This window comes from Homo sapiens, chromosome X, assembly GCF_000001405.40.
Source record: "Homo sapiens chromosome X, GRCh38.p14 Primary Assembly".
Taxonomy (NCBI): domain Eukaryota; kingdom Metazoa; phylum Chordata; class Mammalia; order Primates; family Hominidae; genus Homo; species Homo sapiens.
In genome coordinates this window covers 54,549,579-54,572,201 of record NC_000023.11, presented here as the reverse complement: position 1 = coordinate 54,572,201, position 22,623 = coordinate 54,549,579, and the positions used below count along the sequence as shown (strand labels likewise).

The window sequence follows — 22,623 nt, the reverse complement described above, 5'->3', positions numbered from 1 at the left end:
TCACCACTCCCTAATCTCAAGTACCCAGGGACACAAACACTGCAGAAGGCCGCAGGGTCCTCTGCCTAGGAAAACCAGAGACCTTTGTTCACTTGTTTATCTGCTGACCTTCCCTCCACTATTGTCCTATGACCCTGCCAAATCCCCTTCTGTGAGAAACACCCAAGAATGATCAATAAAAAAAAATAAATAAATAAAAATAAAATAAAATAAAATAGAAACTACCCAAAATAAAACACAGAGAGAAAAAAAAAATCCAAAAAATCCAAAGAACATCAATGATCTGTGGGACAACTTCAGGCAGCTTAAAATAGGTAACTGGAGTCCGTGAAGGAGGAAAGCAGGTGAAGAGGAAAAAATATTTGATAAATTAATGGCCAAAAACTTTCCAAATTTGATGAAATCTATAAACCTAAATATCCAAGAAGTTCAATAAACTCCAAGCAGAAAAACATAAAAGAAAAAAACCCACCAAGGCATATTATAATTACATTGCTCAAAAGTGATAAAGATTAAAAAACACATTATCTATAGAAGAAACAAATTAAGATGACATCAGATGTCTCAAGCCAGGTGCAGCAGTGCACGCCTATAATCTCAGCTGCTCGCAAGGCGGAGGTGGGAGGATTGCTTGAGCTCAGGAATTTGAGACCAGCCTGAGTAACATAGCAAGACCCTGTCTCAAAAAAAAAAAAAAAAAAAAGGCCGGGCGCAGTGGCTCACACCTGTAATCCCAGCACTTTGGGAGGCTGAGGCGGGTGGATGGATCACGAGGTCAGGAGATCGAGACCATCCTGGCTAACACGGTAAAACCCCATCTCTACTAAAAAATATAAAAACATTAGTCGGGCGTGGTGGCCGGTGCCTGTAGTCCCAACTACTCGGGAGGCTGAGGCAGGAGAATGGCATGAACCCGGGAGGTGGAGCTTGCAGTGAGCTGAGATCGTGCCACTGCAGTCCAGCCTGGGCAACAGAGCAAGACTCTGTCTCAAAAAAAAAAAAAAAAATTAGGATGACATCTTAGAAACAACATAATTGAGAAGAGCATGAAACAATGCTTTTGAGGTACTGAAAGACAAAACCTATCAACTTAAATTCTATATGTAGCAAAAATACCTTTCAAAGATGACGGCAAAAAAAATACATTCAGACATACAAAAGCTGAATTAATTCATTGCCCAATAGACTCACAATGCAAAAAATGTTAAAGAAAGTTCTTCAGGCAGAAAGAAAATGCTACCTTATAGAAGTCTGGAGCCACACAGAGCAATGAAGAATACCAGAAATGGTAACTATGTGAGTATATAATTATTTTCTATTATTTAAATCTCTTTAAAAGAGGACTTAAAGTATAAACAAAAATAACAACAATGTATTTTAAGGTTTATAAAATCTACAAGTAAAATTTATGACACTAGCATGAAAGCCAGGAGGAGGAAGTTAAACATTTATACTATAAACTCTAAAGCAACTACTAAGATAATAAAACAATGAGGTACAGCTAATAAATCAAGGAAGAAAAAACAATGGAATCATTAAAAAAAACAGTAATCCAAAAGAAGGCAGAAAAAGGGAGAAAAGGGAACAAAGCATACATGGAACAAATACAAAACAAATAGCAAGATGATAGACTCAAACCTAGCCATACTGATAATAACATTAAATGTAAATGGATCCAAACATCAATTAAAAGGCAGAGACTGTCAAATTGGATAAAAAAGCAAGAACCAACTATATGCTGCCTATGATAAATGCACTTTAAACATAAACACACAAATACATAAAAAGTAAAAGGATGAAAAAGATATACCATAGTTAAACTAGCCCAAAAAAGCTGCAGCAGCTATATTTATACTAGACAAAATGCATTTCAGAACAAAGAATACAAGGAAGTTCATTTCAGAATGATAGTGGGGTCAGTTAACTAAGAGGACATGACAATCCTAAAGGTCTATGCACCTAGCATGAAAGGTTCAAAATCAATTAAATAAAAACTGATACAACTACAAAAAATAACAGACAAATCCACAATTATCATTGGGGACTTCGATAGTCCTCTCTTAATAACTGATAGAACAAGTAGGCATAAAGTCAGCCTGGATATAGTAGACATGAAAAACACTATCAACCAACTTAACTTGGTTGACATTTATAGAAGACTACTCAACAACAGCAAAATTTATTCTTCTCAAGTGCACATGAAACATATTACCAATACAGACCATATTCTGGGCCATGAAACAAGTTTTGATATGTTTTAACATATTCAAGTCATATAAAGTACATTCCTTTACCATAATGTAATTAAATTAGAAGTCAATAGCAGAAAGATCTCTGGAAAATGTCCAAATATGTGGAAGTTAAATAACACAGTTCTAAGTAATACAAAAATCATAAACTTTTTGGATAATAAGCAAAACGAAACAATAAAGATAAAGCAGAAACCAATGAATTAGAAAACAGAAAACAGAGAAAATCAATTAAACCAAAATGTGATTCTTTGAGATGATCAATACAATTGATAAATCTTTAGCCAGATGATCAAGGGGAAAAAGGCACAAACTATTAATATCAGGAATGACAAATGTGGTATCACATTGTGTTAGTCTTCCAACTTTGTTCCTTTTTCAGAGTTGCTTTGACTACATTCTAACTACTTTGCATTTTCTTATCAATTTTAGAATCGTTTTAACAATTTATACAAAATGATAAGAGGATATTAACAACTTTACAAAAATTAATTTGATAAACTACATGAAATGAAGAACTTTCTTTAAAATACTAATTACCAATCCTCACACAAGAAGAAATATAACCTGAATAGCCCTATATATATTTTAAAAATTGAAATTGTAGTCTTAAACCTTCCCACAAATAAAACTTACTGGTAAACTCTAAAATTTAAGAAATGATACCAATTGTACACAGACTCTTCCAAAAACAGGAAACACTTCCCAACCCATTCTATGAGGTCAGCATTACCCCGATACCAAAGATAAAGACATTAAACAAAAGAAAACTTCAGACCAATATCCTTATGTAGATGCAAAAATTCCAAGCAAAAATTTATCAAATTACATCTGCAGTAGGCTGAATAATGCCTCCCATCCTCAAAGATCTACAGATCCTAATCTCCAAAACTTTTGAATATGTTACTTTACATGGTTAAAGGAACTTTCCAGATGTGATTAACTTAAACATATTGAGATGTGGAGATTATCCTAGATGATCCCAATGCATGCAAAGTAATCACAAGAGTCCTTTTAAGTGAGAGGCAGGAAGATCAGAGTCAGAGAAGATATAAGGATTGGAAGAGAGGTTCAGAAAAGAGAAAAAATACTACATTGTTGGCCAGGCGTCGTGGCTCACGCCTATAATCCCAGCACCTTGGGAGGCCCAGGCAGATGGATCATGAGGTCAGGAGTTCAAGACCAGCCTGGCCAACACGGTGAAACCCCATCTCTACTAAAAATACAAAACATTAGCCGGGCATGGTGGCGCATGCCTCTAATCCCAGCTACTTGGGAGGCTGAGGCAGGAGAATCACTTGAACCCAGGAGGCAGAGGTTGCAGTGAGCGGAGATCGTGCCACTGCACAACAGCCTGGGCGACAGTGTGTGAGACTCCGTCTCAAAAAAAAAAAAAAAAGATACTACATAGTTATTTTGAAGATGAGGAAAGAAGCCATTATTCTAGGAATCTAAGCAGCCTCTAGAAGCTGAAAAAGGCAAGGAAATGGATTCTCCCCTAGAGTCTCTGGAGAGAGTGTAACCCTGACAACACCAATTTTGGCCCAGTGAAACTCATTTGGGACCTCTCACCTCTAGAAGTGTAAGATGATAGATTTGTGTTGTTTTAAGCCACAAAGTCTGTGCTAATTTTTTACAGCAGCAATAGAAACTAATATAACTTCCCAACAATTTATTAAAAGAATAGGCTGGGTGCAATGGCTCATGCCTGTAATCCCAGCATTTTGGGAGCCTGAGGCGGGCGGATCACAAGGTCAGGAGTTCGAGACCAGCCTGGCCAATATGGTGAAACCCCATCTCTACTAAAAATACAAAAACTAGCCGGGCGTGGTGGCACGCACCTGTAGTCCCAGCTACTCAGGAGGCTGAGGCAGGAGAATCACTTGAACCCGGGAGGCAGAGGTTGCAGTGAGGCAAGATCATGCCACTGCACTCCAGCCTGGGTGACAGAGTGAGACTCCGTCTCACAAAAAAAAAAAAAAAAGAATAATACATCATGACAAAGTGGGGTTTATCACAGGAATGCAGGATTGGTTTATCATAAGAAAATCAATCAATATAATTTATTAAAACTACATTAAAAACAAACCACAAAAGAAAAACCATGTAATCATTTCAATAGATGCATAAAAACATTTAAGAAAATCTAACATCCATTCCTAAAACAAACCCTTAGCACCTCATACTAGTAAAGGGCAATACAAAAATCTAACATACTTAATGGTTAAAGGCAGAAAGAATACTCTCCCCCAAAGTCAGAAACAAGACAGGGATGCCTGTGCTCACCATTCTTTTTTTTTTTTTTTGAGATGGAGTTTCGCTCTTGTTGCCCAGGCTAGAGTGCAATGGTGTGATCTCGGCTCACTGCAACCTCTGCCTCCTGGGTTCAAGAGATTCTCCTGCCTCAGCCTCCCAAGTAGCTGGGACTACAGGCATGCGCTGCCACACCCAGCTAATTTTGTATTTTTAGTAGAGACGGGGTTTCTCCATGTTGGTCAGACTGGTCTCAAACTCCCGACCTCAGGTGATCAGCCCACCTCAGCCTCCCAAAGCGCTGGGATTACAGGCGTGAGCCACCGCACCTGGCCACCACTCTTACTCAGTGTAGTACTGGAAGTCCCAGCGACTACAATAAGACAAAAAAAAAAATGCAGACATATATATTAGACATGAAGAAATAAAACCATGTTTATTCACAGAAGATATGATTGTCTATGTAGAAAGTCTGGTTAAATCTGCAAAAAAAGCTACTAGAACTAAGTGACTTTAGCAAAGTTTTAGCACATACTGCTAGAAAAATTGGGTAACCATATTTTTTTAAAAAGCATAGATTCATACCTTGTACCATATACAAAAATTGACTCAAAATGGATCATAGACCTAAATGTAAAACCTAAAACTATAAAACTTTTAGGAGGAAACATGGGAGAAAACCTTTGTCATCTCATGTTAAGCAAAGACTCCTCTGATGTAACACAAAAAGCATGATCCATAGAAAAACAAATTAATAAATTTAACAGCCATGGTGGCACATGCCTGTGGTCCCAGCTACTCAAGAGGCGGAGGTGGGAGGTTCGCTTGAGCCCAGGAGGTCGAAGCTACAGTGACCTATGAGCACACCACTGCACCCCAGCCTGGGTGACAGTGAGATCCTGTCTCAAAATAAGGGGAGAGATCTCCATACCCATATTCATAACAGCATTTTTCACAATAGCCAAAAGGTGGGAACAATGCACATGTCCATCAGTGGATGAATGGATAAATAAAATGTGGTATATACACACAATAGAATAATACTCAGCATTAAAAAGAAAAGAAATTCTGACGCAGGCTACAACACAGATTAAGCTTGAATACATTATGCAAAGTGAAATAAGCCAGTCACAAAAAGATAAATATTATATGACTATCAGGGTATTCAAATTCAGAGACAGAAAGTAGCATGGCAGTCGCCAGAGGTTGTGGGCAGAAGGGGTTGGGAGGTTATTGTTTAATAAGTACAGTTTTGGTTATGCATAATATAAATCATTCTGCCATAAAGACACATGCACACATATGTTCACTGCAGCACTATTCACAATACCAAAGACATGGAATCGACCTAAATGTCTATCAACGAAAGACTGGATAAAGAAAATGTGGTACATATGTGTGGGGATTATGGGAACTACAATTCGAGATTTAGGTGTGGACACAGCCAAACCATATCAGATGGTAACGTTTATGTTCTGTGTATTTTACCATAATTTTTAAAAATAAAAACAAATGTGTCAATAAAGCTTTCCCATAATGAAAAAAAGACACCGTTTACAGAATGAGAAGACAAGATACTGGCCAGGCACAATGGCTCATGCCTGTAATCCCAGAACTTTGGGAGGCTAAGACGGGTGTATCACTTGAGGTCCAGAGTTCAAGACCAGCCTTGCCAACATGGTGAAACCTTGTCTCTGGTAAAAATATAAAAGTTAGCCAAGCATGGTGGCCTGCGCCTGTAATTCCAGCTACTCAGGAGGCTGAGGCATGAGAATTACTTGAACCCAGGAGGCAGAGGTTGCAGTGAGCCGAGATTGCACCACTACACTCCAACCTGGGTGAGGACTCTGTTTCAAAAAAAAAAAAAAAAAAAAACACCCCTGTATCCAGCATATAATCCTCAAAATTCAAAAATAATAAAACAATCCAAAATATGCAAGAGATGTGAACACCTTGCCAAAGAAGATATGTAGATAGCAAATAAGCATATAAAATATGCTCAAATCATTAGAGGATGCAAATAAAAACGATGAGATACCACCACATACTTAATGTCAAAAAACCTGGCTGGGCATGGTGGCTCACACCTGTAATCCTAGCACTTTGGGAGACCGAGATGGGAGGATTACTTGAGGCCAGCAGTTCAAGACCATCCTGGTCAACACAGTGAGACCCCATCTCTATTTAAATGTATTAAAAAAATTAAAAAATTTAAAAATTAAAAAACTAAACTGACACCCCCAAGTACTAGAGAGGATGTGGAAATGAAACTTTCATACTGATGGGAATGTGAAATGGTAGAGCCACTTTGAAAAACAGTTTAGAAGTTTCTTAAAATGTCAAACATATGCTTACCATATATCCCAGCAATCCAACTCTAGGTATTTACTATAGATAAATGAAAACACAAAATGTTGCATACAAATGTTTATAGCAGCTTTACTTGTAATTGTCCAAAACTGCAAAGATCCTAAACATCCTTCAACTGGGGAACAAACAGTAGTAAATCCACACAATGGAGTGACTCAGAAATAAGAACTATTAATATACTGAGAAATATGGATGAATCTCAAATGTATTACTCATAGCAAAAGAAGTCGCTCTCAAAATGCTACATACCATATAATTTCATGTATATAACAGTCTTCAAAAGACGAAAATATATGGCCGGACACGGTGGTTCATGCCTATAATCCCAGCACTTTGGGAGGCCGAGGTGGGTGGATCTTTTGAGGTCAGAAGTTCAAGACCAGCCTGGCCAGTGTGGAGAAACCCCCGCCTCTACTAAAAATACAAAAATTAGCCCAGCATGGTGGTGGGCACCTGTAGTCCCTGTTACTCGGGAGGCTAAGGCAGGAGAATCGCTTGAACCCAGGAGGTGGAGGTTGCAGTGAGCCAAGATCACGCCACTGCACTCCAGCCTCAGTGAAAGAGTGAGACTCTGTTTCAAAAAAAAAAAAAAAAAAAAGACAAAAATATAAGAACAAAGAAAAAGGCCAGGCGCAGTGGCTCACTCTTGTAATCCCAGCACTTTGGGAGGCTGAGGCAGGAGGATCATGAGGTCAGGAGTTCGAGACCAGCCTGGCCAAAACAGTGAAACCCCATCTCTACTAAAAATACAAAAATTAGCTGGGCGTGGTGGCGGGCGCCCATAATCCCAGCTACTCGGGAGGCTGAGGCAGGAGAACCGCTTGAACCCTGGAGGCGGAGGTTGCAGTGAACCGAGATCACGCCACTGCACCACTCCAGCCTGGACAACAGAGCTAGACTCTGTCTCAAAAAAAAAAAAAAAAAAAAGAGAACGAAGAAAAAAACCAGTGACTGCCAGGGTTTGGGTGTAGGGGACTGGTTTTGACTACAAAGTAGCAGGAATAAATTTGGTAGGGAGAGGCTAAGAGGACTGTTCTGTACCTTGGTTGCATTGGTGGTTACACAACTCTACACATTTATCAGAGCTTTATAGAACTGTATACCAGAGTGAATTTTACTGTAATGTAAATGTTTATAATTTTTAAAACCTGAAGGCATAAAATAAGCCTACTCATTGTATGATTCTATTGATATGACAGTCATACTAAAGCAAAACTATAGGGGCAGAAAACAAATCAGTGGTTAGCAGAATCTGAGGGTCGGGGGTAGGAGTTGACTACAAAAGGGCCTGGAGAGTTTTAGGGGGGTGATGCAACTATATTTCGATTGTGGTAGTGGTTCACTCCTGTATATGTTTGTACAAACTCACATAACTAAAACTATAAAGAGTGAACTTTACTATATGTAAATTGTACCCTAATTGTTTTGAAAAATGAAGGTAAAAAGTTAAGAAAATACTTTTTTAAAAAAAACCTTTGAGATATGCTGTAGGTAGAGAAACTGCACTCCCAACGTCTTTTTTGTTTTCCTCTTTTTTTTTCCCCCTGAGACAGTCTCACTCTGTTGCCCACGCTGGAGAGCAGTGGCACAATCTCGGCTCAATGCAGCATCGACCTCCTGGGCTCAAGAGATCCTCCTGCCTCAGCCCCATAGGTAGCTGGGACTACAGGCATGAGACACCATGCCCAGCTAATCTTTGTATTTTTTTGGTAGAGATGAGGTTTCGCCATATTGTTTAGGCTGGTCTTGAACTCCTGACCTCAAGTGATCCGCCTGCCTCGGCCTCCCAAAATGCTGGGATTACAGGTGAGAGCTATCGTAACTGGCCTGCAGTCCCAAATTCTTACCGACATGACTACTTTAGTTCTGTTTGATTTTGGCCAAATTATGCTCCCATGCTGTTTCTTACTCATTTAGATACTTCCATTTCTAATATTTACCTCCCAGCACTTCTCCATTACCGATGGGGTCACCTCCTGATAAACCCGTAATTTGCACATTACAATGGGTTTACCAGGAAGTAGCCCCATCATAAGTAGAGGTGCATTCTGAATGTATACTGCTTTTCCACCAAAAATCCCACATCAAACCACCAAAAGTCGGGGACTGTCTGTATTTTAAATGCTAAATTATGAAACGCTGTATGGTTGCAAAATAGACTTAGCTGTCCTGGTATGCAATTTTTCATTATAACACTATCACATACCAGGAGAGTTCAATGAGATAGTGTGAAATAAGTTGTAGCCTATTCAAGAGCACATAGTTTTAGCAAGACACTAAAAACTAGTAGTTTAAGAAACTAGAGTTTTTTAAACCAAAAAAGAAAAAATTTAACGTTAAATGCATTTAACGGACTTGATAACAGAGACTGGCACAAAGTAGGGGCTTAATCAATCTTCCTTTGTTAAGGAGGCAGTACAATATAGAGGAAAGGGCCTGCATAGGGTTTTAATCACGCTTGGGTTCCAATCCTAGCACCACCACTTAATACGCCCACTTGGGTCTGGCCATCCTGTCAACTTTTTTTTTTTTTTTCCGAGACGAAGTCTCACTCTGTCCCCCAGGCTGGAGTGCAGTGGTGTGATGTCGACTCACTGCAACCTCCGCCTCCTGAGATCAAGTGATTCTCCTGCCTCAGCCTCCTGCATAACTGGGATTACAGGTGTGAGCCACCATGCTCGGCCAACATTCTGAGATTACTTTTTTTTTTCATTTGGGGAGACGAATCCCTTACTAGCAGAGCTGTATTGAGGGTTAACGGTGGTAATGGGTCTCCAGGGCTTGGTGCAGTTTGTACTCAACAAGTACGTAATTCTCTCCTTTGGTTGCCCCTGAATACAAGAGTGGTCTTGTACTTCCCTGCCTGAACAGTCCACAGCCAATGGCACTCCAGTCCTTGTCACATGGTTCCACTCTTAGGATGTAAATTAGGAGGTACCAGCTTGAGAGGCAGAGGCAAAGGTAAGGTTAAGATGCAGCTGTGAGGCTGGGCACAGTGGCTCACGCCTATAATCCCAGCACTTTGGGAGGCCGAAGCGAGTGGATCACTTGAGGTCAAGAGTTCGAGACCAGCCTGGTCAACATGGTGAAACATCGTCTCTACTAAAAATACAAAAACTAGCCAGGCGTGGTGGCAGGTGCCTGTAATCCCAGCTACTTGGGAGGCTAAGGCAGGAGGATCACTTGAACCCGGGAGGCAGAGGTTGCAGTGAGCCGAGATCACGCCATTGCACTCCAGCCTGGGCAACAGAGCAAAATAAATAAATAAAGGTGCAGCTGTGGGTCGAAGGATGGTGTGGAAGTTTGGGGTAGACATCCAAGACTGCAGTAATGCTATGCCCAGGGTATATTTTGGGGCAAAACCCCCAAAATACCCTGGCAAAGAAAGAAGATTGTGTTTCAGTTGCAATCATCTACCCTAATCCCTTTCTGAGGGCCTCTGGCACTGCTTGGGCTCACTGCCCTTGTCTGATGGGGTAGGATCTCCCAGAGGAGACAGCTAATTATACTTTAATGAGGTGACTTACAGACACTGGAAAAGGAGTTGGCTGGTACACTCCCATATATAGCAGCTCTCTCGAGGATACAGTCTGTGAATAAATGGTACCAGAACCCTCTTGAGCCATGGAATTCAAATGCTGGTGCAATAGGAGACATGGTCACACAAGGGCAGGGTCCAGCCAGAGTACTTCAGTTAAAGAGATTCCTCCAATTCACAATCTGCCCAGAAATGCCCCCAAGACGGGGCTTCCCCCTAAAGCCTCCCTACTAACAGGTGCTTTGTTTTCTCTTCACGCAAACAGGGTAGTGCCTACCACACTTCAGCACAAGCCAGGCTTGTTTGTTCTCTTCTTCCCTCTACCCTATCCCTAGAACCTTCCAGAGACACAGGAGGCTCATTACTTTCTACTTTTTCTCACTGCCACCCAGGTGAAGACCTATGGACTTGGAAGATGCATGGCCCAAAGCCCACTGCAGGCATGCCTTGCCACTGAAATCTCCTGTGGGGTGGTAAAGAAACCATCACCCTCCCGCAGGGACCCCCAGGTCTACCAGCAACCTAACTTCTAGTGGCATATTCACCTGTCTAAGAGAGTTTTGTAGGCAGAGTTTTGTAGGTCAGCCCTCAACAGGTGTTAGCACCTGAGCTCTGCTGATACTTCTTTTATTTCTCTTGTAAAACAGAGTAGGGGTTAAATAGAGGGTATTGGGTTTGGCAGCTGCAGCCCCTTGGGATTTTTTTTTTTTTTTTTTTTTTGGGACGGAGTTTCGTGTTGTTGCCCAGGCTAGAGTGCAATGGTGCCGTCTGGGCTCACTGCAACCTCTGCCTCCCAGGTTCAGGCGATTCTCCTGCCTTAGTCTCCCAGGTTCAGGCGATTCTCCTGCCTCAGCCTCCCAAGTAGCTGGGATTATAGGTGCCACTAAGCACGGCTAAATTTTTTTGTATTTTTAGTAGAGACGGGGTTTCACCATGTTGGCCAGGCTGGTCTCGAACTCCTGACCTCAGGTGATCTGCCCACCTCGGCCTCCCAAAGTGCTGGGATTACAGACGTGAGCCACAGCACCTAGCCGGGACTGTTTTTACTGGAGGAGGGGGAGAAGACACACAGTGGGGAAAGCGTTCTTTCAATATGCAGATGCTTCAGGGAGAACCAAACTATTTCACTGGTATTCCCCCGTACCACCGGAACTGGTGCTTGGAGCGGAAGGGAAGTGAGATCAGTCGATTAGTCACCAACACCATCATCAGCATTGCCAGAGAGGTCGAGAGCAGACATCATGGAATCAGACAGCTTGCTGGCGATTTTATCTGCAAATGGAGAAATACAGGCAATCTTTTGGTGGCTGGCTTGCCACCAGGAGGCCTGCTGACGCTGGCCTACATCTACCTTGGTCTACACCAAGCTCCTGAACTGGCTCACTTACCCCCAAACGCTACCACAAAACTGGTGAGTGCTGGAAGCCACTGCTCAGCTTCACAGGTAGACAATCCATTTTTCTATCTGTGAAATGATCATCCCAACACAGCTTCTATCTCAGGGTTTCAGACTCACTGGGCTCCAAGTATTTTTGTCCAAATACCAAAGCAATAATTTTCTTTTACTATGTCAAACTTAGTGCTCTACCATTACCCTCAAAACAAAGCTCTCACAGCAAAGGGCAACACGGCTGTATGTTCGCCATAAGCCTGAACGTTCACCACGCACACCTCCCATCCCCCAGACACACCCTGTTGTTCCTCAGGATGCCCCCCAGACTTCACCTCCTCCAGGAGGCCTTCTCTGATCACCCCTATCCAACCACCATCCCCAGGCTGGGTTAGGTTCCCTCACTGTGCTTGCTGGGTCTTCAACGTGATTACTATGTGCTCGTGCTGCCAAGGTCTGTTTTCTTGTCTCCTCCTCACTCCCTAATAAGACTAGGAGTTCAAAGGCAATTCATCTGAATTCCCAGGACTCAGTGTGGAGCCAGGCCAAGAGTGAATGTCTGATTGTGTATGTTTGGTTACAGAACACAATCTAGTTCAAAGAATAGGGCTGTTGGGGTCAATCAACCCAAAGTCTGTATTTTGGCTCCATCAACTACAAGTTGTCTTACCTTTAGCGTGTCACTTAATGTCTCTGGACCTCAGTTTTCTCACTTATCAAATAAGGGGAAGACTTTTGCAATGAGTTAGTGAAAAGTACAGCATGGAAACCCAAATGGGCCAGCTACACAATGTACCACCATTAAAACGAGGGGAAGAAGTTCTTTTGTGTATTAACATAGACATATCCCTAAGACATAGTGAGTGGAAAAATGATAGGGCAAAACCATGTGTCCAGTAGATTGGCATTTGTGTGGAAAAAGAGAACAAAGAATATATAGATATTTGCTTGTGTCTCAGAAAAGACACAATAAACTAACTGGCTGACGAGGGGGCGGTCTGGATGACTAGCGGGTGGGAGAGATTTTACTGTATATCCTCTTGTACGTGTAGGATTTTGAGTATATTGCCTATTGATATATAGCCTGCAAGCTACCTAACACATAGAGAGTACCTGATAAATAAATGGTCGTTATTTGATACATAGACTAGGCAGGCCAGTGGTTCTCCCAGTGTGATCCCCAGAGAAATAGCATCAGCTGGGAACCTGTTAGAAATACAAATTCTAACAGGCCCCACAGAAGACCTACTCAATTAGAAACTATGAGGGAGGGGCACAGAAATCTGTGTTTTAACAAACCCTCCAGGGAATCCTGATGCGAGCTGAAGTTTGAGAGCCACTGTGCTAGTAGTTGAGCCTCCTAGCTCATCCCTGCCCCCAACCCTAGACTGGAGCTGGACACAGAGAGATACTCATTCAGGAGCCCCAATCAAGATCCCAGGTGGGGCCACGTGCAGTGGCTCACATCTGTAATCCTAGCACTTTGGAAGGCCGAGGCAAGTGGATCACCTGAGGTCAGGAGTTTGAGACCAGCCTGGCCAACATGGCGAAACATCGTCTCTACTAAAAATACAAAAATGAGCCGGACATGGTGGCAGGTGCCTGTAATCCCAGCTACTCAGGAAGCTGAGGCAGGAGAATCGCTTGAACCCAGGGGGCGGAGACTGCAGTGAGCCAGAAAAAAAAAACAAAAAAAGATCCCATGTGGGCCCCTTTCAGAGCACAGGGTTGGTCTGGGGCTCCCACCTGCACGTTTCTGCATCTTCTTCTTATTTTTCAGGGCAGATGCCAGAGCCTGGCCCTGTTGCAGGGGGTCCGTCTCCATGATCCTCTGCAGCACTGAGCGGCGGTCCACTGAGCAGACATCCACCATACTGTTGCTCTTAGGGCGGTGGTCCACATTGCGTTTAGCCCACCCCATCTGATGACGGTTCGGATTGGTGCAATACCCAGTGAGATCTCCAATCTAGGAAGAGACAGAAAACATAACGATGAGGTCTTAACCCCCAGAGAACCTCCAAAGACTTCTGCAGAAAAGGTAGGGACACAGGCTTGGGTAAGAACAGGAGCCTGGAGCCATGTGGAACTAGGCTCCAATTCTGGCCCCACCACACTCCAGCAGGTGCTTAGTTAACTCTCAGCCTCAGTTCCCTATCTGTCAAATGGGGGGTGGATAAGGGGTAGTTTGCATGGCTTCTACAAGAATAAAATGAAAAGGTAGGCCAGGCACGGTGGCTCATGCCTATAATCCCAGCACTTTGGGAGGCTGAGACAGGCAGATCACAAAGTCAAGAGATCGAGACCATCCTGGCCAACACGATGAAACCCCGTCTCTACTAAAAATACAAAAATTAGCTGGGAATGGTGGCACACGCCTGTAGTCCTAGCTACTCGGGAGGCTGAGGCAAGAGAATCGCTTGAACCTGGGAGGCGGCAGTTGCAGAGAGCCGAGATCGCACCACTGCACTCCAGCCTGGTAACAGAGACTCTGTCTCAAAAAAAAAAATTTTCTGGCAGGCGCAGTGGTTCACTAGGATTAGGTCTGTAATCCTAGCACTTTGGGAGGCCAAGGCAGGAGGATCACTTGAGCCCAGGAGTTTGAGACCAGCCTAAGCATCAAAATGAGACCTTCGTCTCTACAAACAATTCTGTTAAAAATTAGCTGGGAGGCTGGGCATGGTGGCTCACTCCTGTAATCCTAGCACTTTGGGAGGCTGAGGCGGGCAGATCACTTGAGGTCAGGAGTTCGAGACCAGCCTGGCCAACATGGTGAAACCTTTCTCTACTGAAAATACAAAAATTAGCCAGGCATGGTGAGGGGTGCCTATAATCCCAGCTACTTGGGAGGCTGAGGCAGGAGAATCACTTGAACCCAGGAGGTGCAGGTTGCAGTGAGCCAAGACTGCACCACTGCACTCCGGCCTGGGCAACAGAGCAAGACCCTGTCTCAAAAAATAAAAATAAAAATAAAATTAGCTGCGCATGGTGGCTTGCATCTGTAATCCCAGGCACTTGGGAGGCTGAGGTGGGGGGATTGCTTGAGCCCAGAGTTCAAGGCTGCAGTGAGCCAAGATCACACCACTGCACTCCAGCCTGGGTGCCAGAGCAAGACCCTGTCTTAAAAAAAAATTTTTTTTTTGACATCTACTTTGTGTCCAGCTCCGTGTGGGGCAATGCTGGGACAGAGAAATGAGTGACTCCATTCCATCTTTTTTTTTTTGAGATGGAGTTTCGCTCTGTTGCCCAGGATGGAGTGCAGTGGTATGATCTTGGCTCACTGTAGCCTGTGCCTCCTAGGTTCAAGCAATCCTCCTGCCTCAACCTCTCGAGTAGCTGAGATTATAGGCGTGCATCACCACACCTGGCTAATTTTTTTTATTTTTAGTAGAGACGGGGTTTCACCATGTTGGCCAGGCTGGCCTCGAACTCCTGACCTCAGGTGATCCACCCGCCTTGGCTTCCCAAAGTGCTGGGATTACAGGCATGAGCCACCGCGCCCGGCCTCGGTTCCATCTTCAGGAAACAACCAGGCTAAAGAAGGTACAATGATCTATACCACTAATCAGAGTATGGTAACTGCCCATCAGAAACATGAAGGATGAGTGACTGAGGTTAGGGATGATAGTGGTGGTCAACATACTACTGATGGGGAGGGGTCATTCCTGACTGAACACTGAAAAAACATAGAGCACACCTGAGTACCAAAAACAGTGTCTGTCTCTGGCTGGGCGCAGTGGGTCACACCTGTAATCCAAACACTTTGGGAGGCCAAGGAGGGCGGATCACTTAGGGTCAGGAGTTCGAGACCAGCCTGGCTGACATGGCTGGGTCCTGGACCACATGCTGCTGACCCCCTTGCCCAGAGAACTCCTCAGGTTTCAAGACGTGGCTTGATAGGGTTTGGCTGTGTCCCCACCCAAAATCTCATCTTGAATTGTAAACCCCATAATTCCCATAATCCCTACATGTCAAGGGAGAGACCAGGTGGAAGTAATTGAATCATGGGGGTGGTCTCCCCCATGCTCTTATCATGATAGTGGGTTCTCATGAGATCTGATGGTTTTATGTGTTTGGTAGTTCCTCCTGTGTTCATTCGTCTTCCTGCCACCTTGTGAAGAAGGTGCCTGCTTCCCCTTCACCTTCTGACATGATTGTAAGTTTCCTGAGTCCTCCCCAGCCGTGCTGAACTGTGAGTCAATTAAATCTCTTTCCTTTATAAATTACCCAGTCTCAGGCAGCTCTTTACAGCAGTATGAAAACGGACTAATACATGACTCAAGCAAGACTTCCTTGACCCACAGGTAGTACAGGTTAGGGTCCTTGGATCCATGCTGTCCCAACCTCGACCCCTATCCGCACCCTATGTGTCTCCCATCACAGTGCGGATGTCTGTGTCTGAAACCCACTAAAATATGAACTCCTCAAGGGCAGAGATGGAGGATGGACTGGCAGAAGAAGAGGCTGAAAAAACCTCTAGGAGTCATCATATCATGCCCTGCAGATCTTCAATAGCAGGCCACAGGTATATGGACTTGATTGTGTAGGTGTTGGGGAGCCATGAAATCAGTTTAAGCAGGGGAGGTGACATGGTCAGACTGGGCCATTAGAAACCAGGGGACACGGCCAGGTGCAGTGGCTCATGCCTGTAATCCCAGCACTTTGGGAGGCCGAGGCAGGTGGATCACCTGAGGTCAGGAGCTCAAGACCAGCCTGGCCAACACAGTGAAACCCCATCTCTACAAAAAAAAAAAAAAAAAAAAAAAAAAAATTAGGCATGGTGGCAGGCACCTGTAGTCCCAGCTGCTCCGGAGGCTGAGGCAGGAGAATTGCTTGAACCCAGGAGGCGGAGGTTGCAGTGAGCTGAGATCACACCACTGCACTCCAGCCTGGGTGGCAGAGCGAGTTTCCATCTCAAAAAAGAAAGAAAAAGAAAGAAAGAAACCTTGGGACATATGTCCAAGTAAGTGAGGGCTGGAAGCTTAGTTTAGGGTAACAGGAATGGTAGGGATGAAAAGGATGAAAAGCTTGTCAAAAGATTTAGGAGGGAGAAGACATAGGTCTTGCTGACTGACAGAGTATAAGATCCCAGGCCAGGCATGGTGGCTCATGCCTGTAATCCTAGCACTTTGGAAGGCCGAGGCAGGCAGATCACCCGAGGTCAGGGGTTCGAGACCAGCCTGGCCAACATAGCAAAACCCTGTCTCTACTAAAAACACAAAAATTAAGCCGGGTGTCGTGGCGCATGCCTGTAATTCCAGCTAACTGGGAGGCTGAGGCAGGAGAATCATGTGAACCTGGGAGGCAAAGGCTGCAGTGAGCCAAGATCACGCCACTGCACTGCAGCCTGGGTGACAGAGTGAGACTCTATCTCAAAAAAAAATAAAAAAATAAAAAATAAAATAAAATAAAATCCTGGTACTAGTTAGGGAGAAGAAAGAGTCGTTTGCAAGTTGGACAACTGGGTGGCTAGATAGTGATACCTGTTCTATGGGCTAGAACCAGAGCTGGGAAAGCTGCCTTAGAGAGCATGCCTGTTTCCTGGACCTGTCATTGCTTGGTAAAGGATATACTAGGCCAGGCATCCAGAAGCCCATAGGGAGCGAGTGAACTACCCACATCTCACCACATGAAAGGCAGGTAAAAGGGATTGACCACTTCCCAGAGCCCTGGGGAGAGAAGAGGGTTGCCATGAACAAAGATGACAGGTACCTTATACACGGTGGTTTTATTTTCAATGGCATCTGCTATTTTCGTCATCGGAGAATGGAGCAACTTGATCTCCATTTCAAGTGGGTCCGTGTCACCCAACAGCTCATCAGATTCTCCGGTGGCCAAGCCTTTAACACAACCAACACCACTGTCAGGGCCCTGGCTCCCCTCTGTTGCCAGCCCCCTGGTCAGGCCTCAGTGAAAAGGATACATGGATGCTTCCCAGGGGAGTCAGGTGCAGGAACTTTTTCACTCCTGCTGAGAGGCCACATCACCAAGAATTAAAAGCATGGGTTTTGCAGTAGGACATTCACTTGCTGGGAGCTGGACTCAGAGCTTCAGCTTCCTCATGTGGAAAATGGGAATTCCACAAGCCCTCTTCACACTGGGCTGCTGTGAGACATGGCAGATGTCTGTAATGCTCTGGCCCAAGATGCTGCTCTGTAAATGGCAGGCACTGGGATTCCCTCCCCAGGACCAGACTTTCTCCTCCTCTCTCTGGCCCCTTGCCTGGAGCTGGCCTCTACTGCAACCCTCAGATGTGCCCACTGCCCTGTGCCCCACTACCCTCATGCCTGCTTCTATAATTTTGCCCCTATTCCCTACCCTCGGCCTTCTAATCCCTACTCACCCTTCAAGATCCAGCACTAGGGCCAAGTCCTCCAGGAAACCTTCACCACTAAACCTGTTCCTCACTGTCTTCTCAATTTCTCAGACCTCAGTCTTTGGCCAAAATGTATTCTCAGTGATGGAGCACCTCTTGCCCTCACATCCAGCCAGGGTCAAGCATCATCATAAGAACATAAACTCAAACCCCTCTCAACTGCCCTATTTAACAGAAGAGGAAACTAAGGCCAGATACAGTGGCTCATGTCTGTAATCCCAGCACTTTGGGAGGCCAAGGCAGGCAGATTGCTTGAAGCCAGGAGTTCAAGACCAGCCTGGCCAACATGGCAAAACCCCATCTCTACTAAAAATAAAAAAAATTAGCCAGGCGTGGTGGTGCACACCTATAGTCCCAGCTACTCAGGCAGCTGAGGCACAAGAATCACTCGACCCCAGGAGGCAGAGATTGCAGTAAGCCCAGATCATACCACTGTACTCCAGCCTGGGCAACAAAGCAAGATTCTGCCTCAAAAAAAAACAAAAAGAGGAAACAAATTCAGAAAGGGGGCTGACTTGCTCAAAGCCACATGAAATACAAACTAGAAAGCAGGCAAGTCCTCTTAACCTCGTGTGTAACACAAGGACACTAAAAGACCCAGAGAAGGAAAACTACTGGACCTCAAGAGAAAAAACAGAGAATCTAGAAGCCAGGCTAGCCAACGCTTCCTCAACTACCCCATAATGTCTACAGACAAGCCCAGAAGGCACTGGATACCTTCCTTAGGCAGTGTAGAGAATGAAGCAGGGAGCCACAAGCCAGGGCTGCAGAGAGTAATATCTGAGGAGGGCAAACATTCTCAGGAGTTTCTGAGAGTCACATCTCTGTTCCCCAGCAAATAATCATCTTAATAAAAACTAACATTTACTGAGCATCTATTTACTATATGCCAGGCACTGTTGTTCTAAATGTCTTTTACATTATTAAAAAAATCCTCATAACTACCTTATCGGGTGGACTTACTGTCCCCATTTTACAGATGACATCATTGAGACAAAGAAGTGAAGTAATTTGTTTAGCATCACACAGTAAAAAGGAAACAAAGCTCGGATTTGAATCCAGGCAGTCTATACTTTTGGACACCCAGCTCCTGTGAGCTGGAAGAGTCTTCAACAGGGCAGGAGAACTGGGTCAAAGGCCACCTCTGCTGACATCCTTTTGGCAAATATCAGCTTTCTGTGACTTGGGTACCTTACTCACCGATAGGGGTAAGAAGGAAAATCGAGAAGTGGACCTGAAGTGGTTGTGAAAAAGCCTAAGGCAACATTAGAGAGTTTTTGAGAGAATGTCTCAGTCCATTCCAGGTCCCAAGAGACAGGAATGGAGCTTCACATTTCCAGAGCACCTCAATGGGTACCAGGCACTTTTTCTTTCGTTATTTACCAAAAGCTCACAACCACCCTCCCCCAACCCGCCCTGCCAGGGCCAGATTAGAATTCCCCACCTTGCAAGAAAAGAAATTAGGCCTGAAGCTGCTTAAGCAACTTGCCCAAAGCCCAAGTAGGGCCAAGGAAGCGGGAGGTCAAAAGTGGGATTTGCTGTCAGGTCTGTGTGGCCCCACTAGTGCAAGACCAAGTGCACCCACCCTGCCCACACTTACATTCCATGGTGTCTTCATTGGCCTGCTCAGTATCCTCGATGTCAAAGACCTCGGTCATTTCCTTAACGATCTCAGCACTGAGATGGGTGGGCAGAGTGTGAGTGGCTGGTGGTGGTATATAGAAGCTGATCTTCCCGCTGCATTGGGAGATAGGGGAGATGAGTGGTGCTGTCACTGAGAGAACCAATGACAATCCAAGAGACGATGAGTTTGCAGGCCAGAAACAGCAACGGAACAAGAAAACCCAGACAGTGGCTTCTGAACAAGAAGGAGTTGAGTTGCTGGATAATCACTGGGCATAAAGTCTCGAGCAGGACATGACCTGGCACCTTGGCCATCCTCTGCCCCAAGACCCAGGAAGTCAAGCTGCCCCAGCGGCAATGAGCACAGATGAGCCCCTTTGGGGAGCCAGGCTGCCAGCGGGCCTCACCCTTACCCCTAACCCCCTCCTCACCTCACCCAGTCAGCTAGGACAGCTTTGGCCGCCTGTTCCTGACTATATAAGCCTCCCTTCTTCTTCTTCCCCAAACGGTGGGCCACTGCCGTCAGAAAGTGCTCAGTGGTCTGGAACCCAGAGACGCCATAATAGTTGGAAATCTGGTGAAGGGAGGAAGGAGAGAAGTCATGAGGAGGAATGAAGGGCCCTTAGAGTAGGGCAGGGCATCAGCCAGGGCTCTGCTGCGGACCTCCTCCAGGTTGCAGCGCTGCAGGATGGTCTCCACTGGGGTCACAGGGTCTGCCAGCTTCTGCACGTGGACGCAGTTACGCAGGATGGTGCCCACCTCTGAGTTGGGCCCTGGGACAATGCCTGGAGCATCCAAGAGCCGGATGAACTTGTCCAGGTAGACCTCCTGCATGAATCTGGGGCGGGGAAGAAGAAAGCCCAGATGTACCTGGCATCGTAGAGGCCCCAATCACGAAGGTGGGCCTGGGATGTGGGAGTGTAAAGGAGTGAGGGGAGGGTGCATTAGAGACGAAGGTGGAGAGATGTAGAGTTGGAGGAGGGGTGACTGGGGCTCTACAGACTTGAGGCTGATTCTAATCTATCCTCTGCCACTGGGGACTGAGCTGCAGGATCTTGGGCAAGCTTGACTCTCCAAGCCTCAGCTGCTTCATCCAGTCAACAGAGCTCCCATTTGTAGCCCAATCTTGCATCGTTATTCAGAAGCTTCAAGGCGCTAATGGGAACCACCCATGTGGGGACCTGGCCCACACCTAGGGTGTATCAGGAAAATGAGGGCTATGAGACTCCCATGCCTGGGGAAAGCATCAGGGGATGGTCCATGATAAGGAAAGGGACAGGGGCTGAAGGCATGGGAGTTGGGGGGAAATGGTAGGGTCAAGGAATTGTGGAGTGGAGGAGCAGGCAGGTGCTTACTTGGTAATTCCAGGAACAGCTCCCACGCTGCATGCGCGGCTGCGCTTCAGGCTATTGATCAGGCTGCTCTTCCCAACATTGGGAAGACCTACAAAATAGCAGCAGATGGCTCAGGGCAGAAGAGGCCCTCAGGAACACTCAGGCCAGCCTGTGTGAGGGAGGCCTAGCCAGGGGTAGTAACCAGGCCATGGGGAAGCCAAAAAATTGAGCCTGACCTCCTCCCTTCCCACCCCAGGCCCTGACAAAGCCCCTACAGGGCCTTTCTACCTCTCCCCTCCATTTGTGAGCATGCTAGATAGGTATGTCCCTCTTTCTAGACGTGACACCAACCTCCCACTCACAATCAGCCAGGCAGAGGTCCTCAATGCAAGGCCTCAGTGGCACAATCCAACAGAAGGTGGACATCGAGAAATGTCTAAGAAACAGAGAACAACCTGTCTGGGTGTATCATTCCATGGATGGGGATGGAGGTCATCTCCAGATGCCAGTCTCTCTGTGCAGCTGTCTACCTGAGGTGTGTATTTTGCTGTTTGTGCATCTGTCAGCCATTCTCAGCCTGTGGATGTCTTTGTGTTTCCCCTCACTGGGCCTCATTCTCACCGTTCTCTTTCTGTATGTGCTCAATTTACATGTGTGTACTATTGTCTCAAGCATATGCTTGTTTCAACCCGAGAAAGCTGATTGCCTAAAGAAAAAAAAGGTATATGTCTAAGTATACCTCTCGTGCATGAAGCCTCTGCACACCTCTCTCCCCCCTCCCTCTCTCTAGGTCATTCTCATTCTAAATTATCACCATGCATGGAAGTCTCTACACATCTCTCTCTCTCTCTCTCTCTCTCTCTCTCGGTCATTCCCATTCTCAGTATCACCACTTTTTCCTTTTCTTGTATCTCTCCCACTCAGTCTCTTTCTCTATCTTATCTTTGTTTCTCTCTGTGTCTCTGTATCTAAGCACCTCTTTCTCTGCCAATTTGTCTGTCTCTCATTCTGGCCATTGTTCTTTTCTCTCTGATTCTCTCCACCCCACCAATCCTGCCTCTATTTGTAATTCCCTCCATGCCAACTCCTGTCAGCCTCTGTCCATGCTCCTCATCTCTGTGGGCTGGTCACTTCATGGATGCCTCTCTGTATGTGTCTCACGGTGTCTCTTCTACTCTCTCCCTGTCTGCGCCTCCTTAACCTCCTCTCTGTATGTCTCTATTTCTCTCTGTACAGGTACACATACCTGCCTCATAGTGACATGTCTGGTATTTGTGTCCCTCTGTAACTCTAGGTATGTGATTATGTTCGAGGGTCAAAGTGTATGTGGGCACATGCGTGTCTTCTTTTTTTTGAGACGGAGTCTCGCTCTGTTGCCCAGGCTGGATCTCAACAGTGGCACGATCTCAACTCACTGTAACCTCAACTCACTGTAACCTCCACCTCCCAGATTTAAGCGATTCTCCTGCCTCGGCCTCCCGAGTACCTGGGAT

At 45.3% G+C, this 22,623-nt stretch overlaps 1 protein-coding gene across 6 annotated transcripts in view; it reads right to left on the bottom strand.

Annotated features, from left to right (window-relative positions):
- GNL3L (G protein nucleolar 3 like) overlaps positions 1-22,623 on the bottom strand; it is a 115,636-nt gene that overhangs the window by 73,653 nt on the left and 19,360 nt on the right. For 4 of the 6 annotated variants that reach the window (XR_007068190.1, XR_007068191.1, XM_047442190.1 and 1 more), the window contains exons 10-16: positions 21,152-21,239; positions 20,460-20,634; positions 20,228-20,370; positions 19,774-19,910; positions 17,510-17,637; positions 13,547-13,766; positions 11,555-11,682 (exon numbers count right to left, since the gene is read on the bottom strand). Coding sequence is in view for 4 of the 6 variants with exons in the window: in XM_047442190.1 (XP_047298146.1) it covers positions 11,600-11,682; positions 13,547-13,766; positions 17,510-17,637; positions 19,774-19,910; positions 20,228-20,370; positions 20,460-20,634; positions 21,152-21,239 (974 nt within the window). In the remaining 2 variants the exon portion in view is untranslated. Of the gene's footprint in view, positions 1-4,912; positions 11,683-13,546; positions 13,767-17,509; positions 17,638-19,773; positions 19,911-20,227; positions 20,371-20,459; positions 20,635-21,151; positions 21,240-22,623 lie in introns of those variants that run through there. The other 2 variants (NM_001184819.2, NM_019067.6) reach the window with 1 other exon arrangement.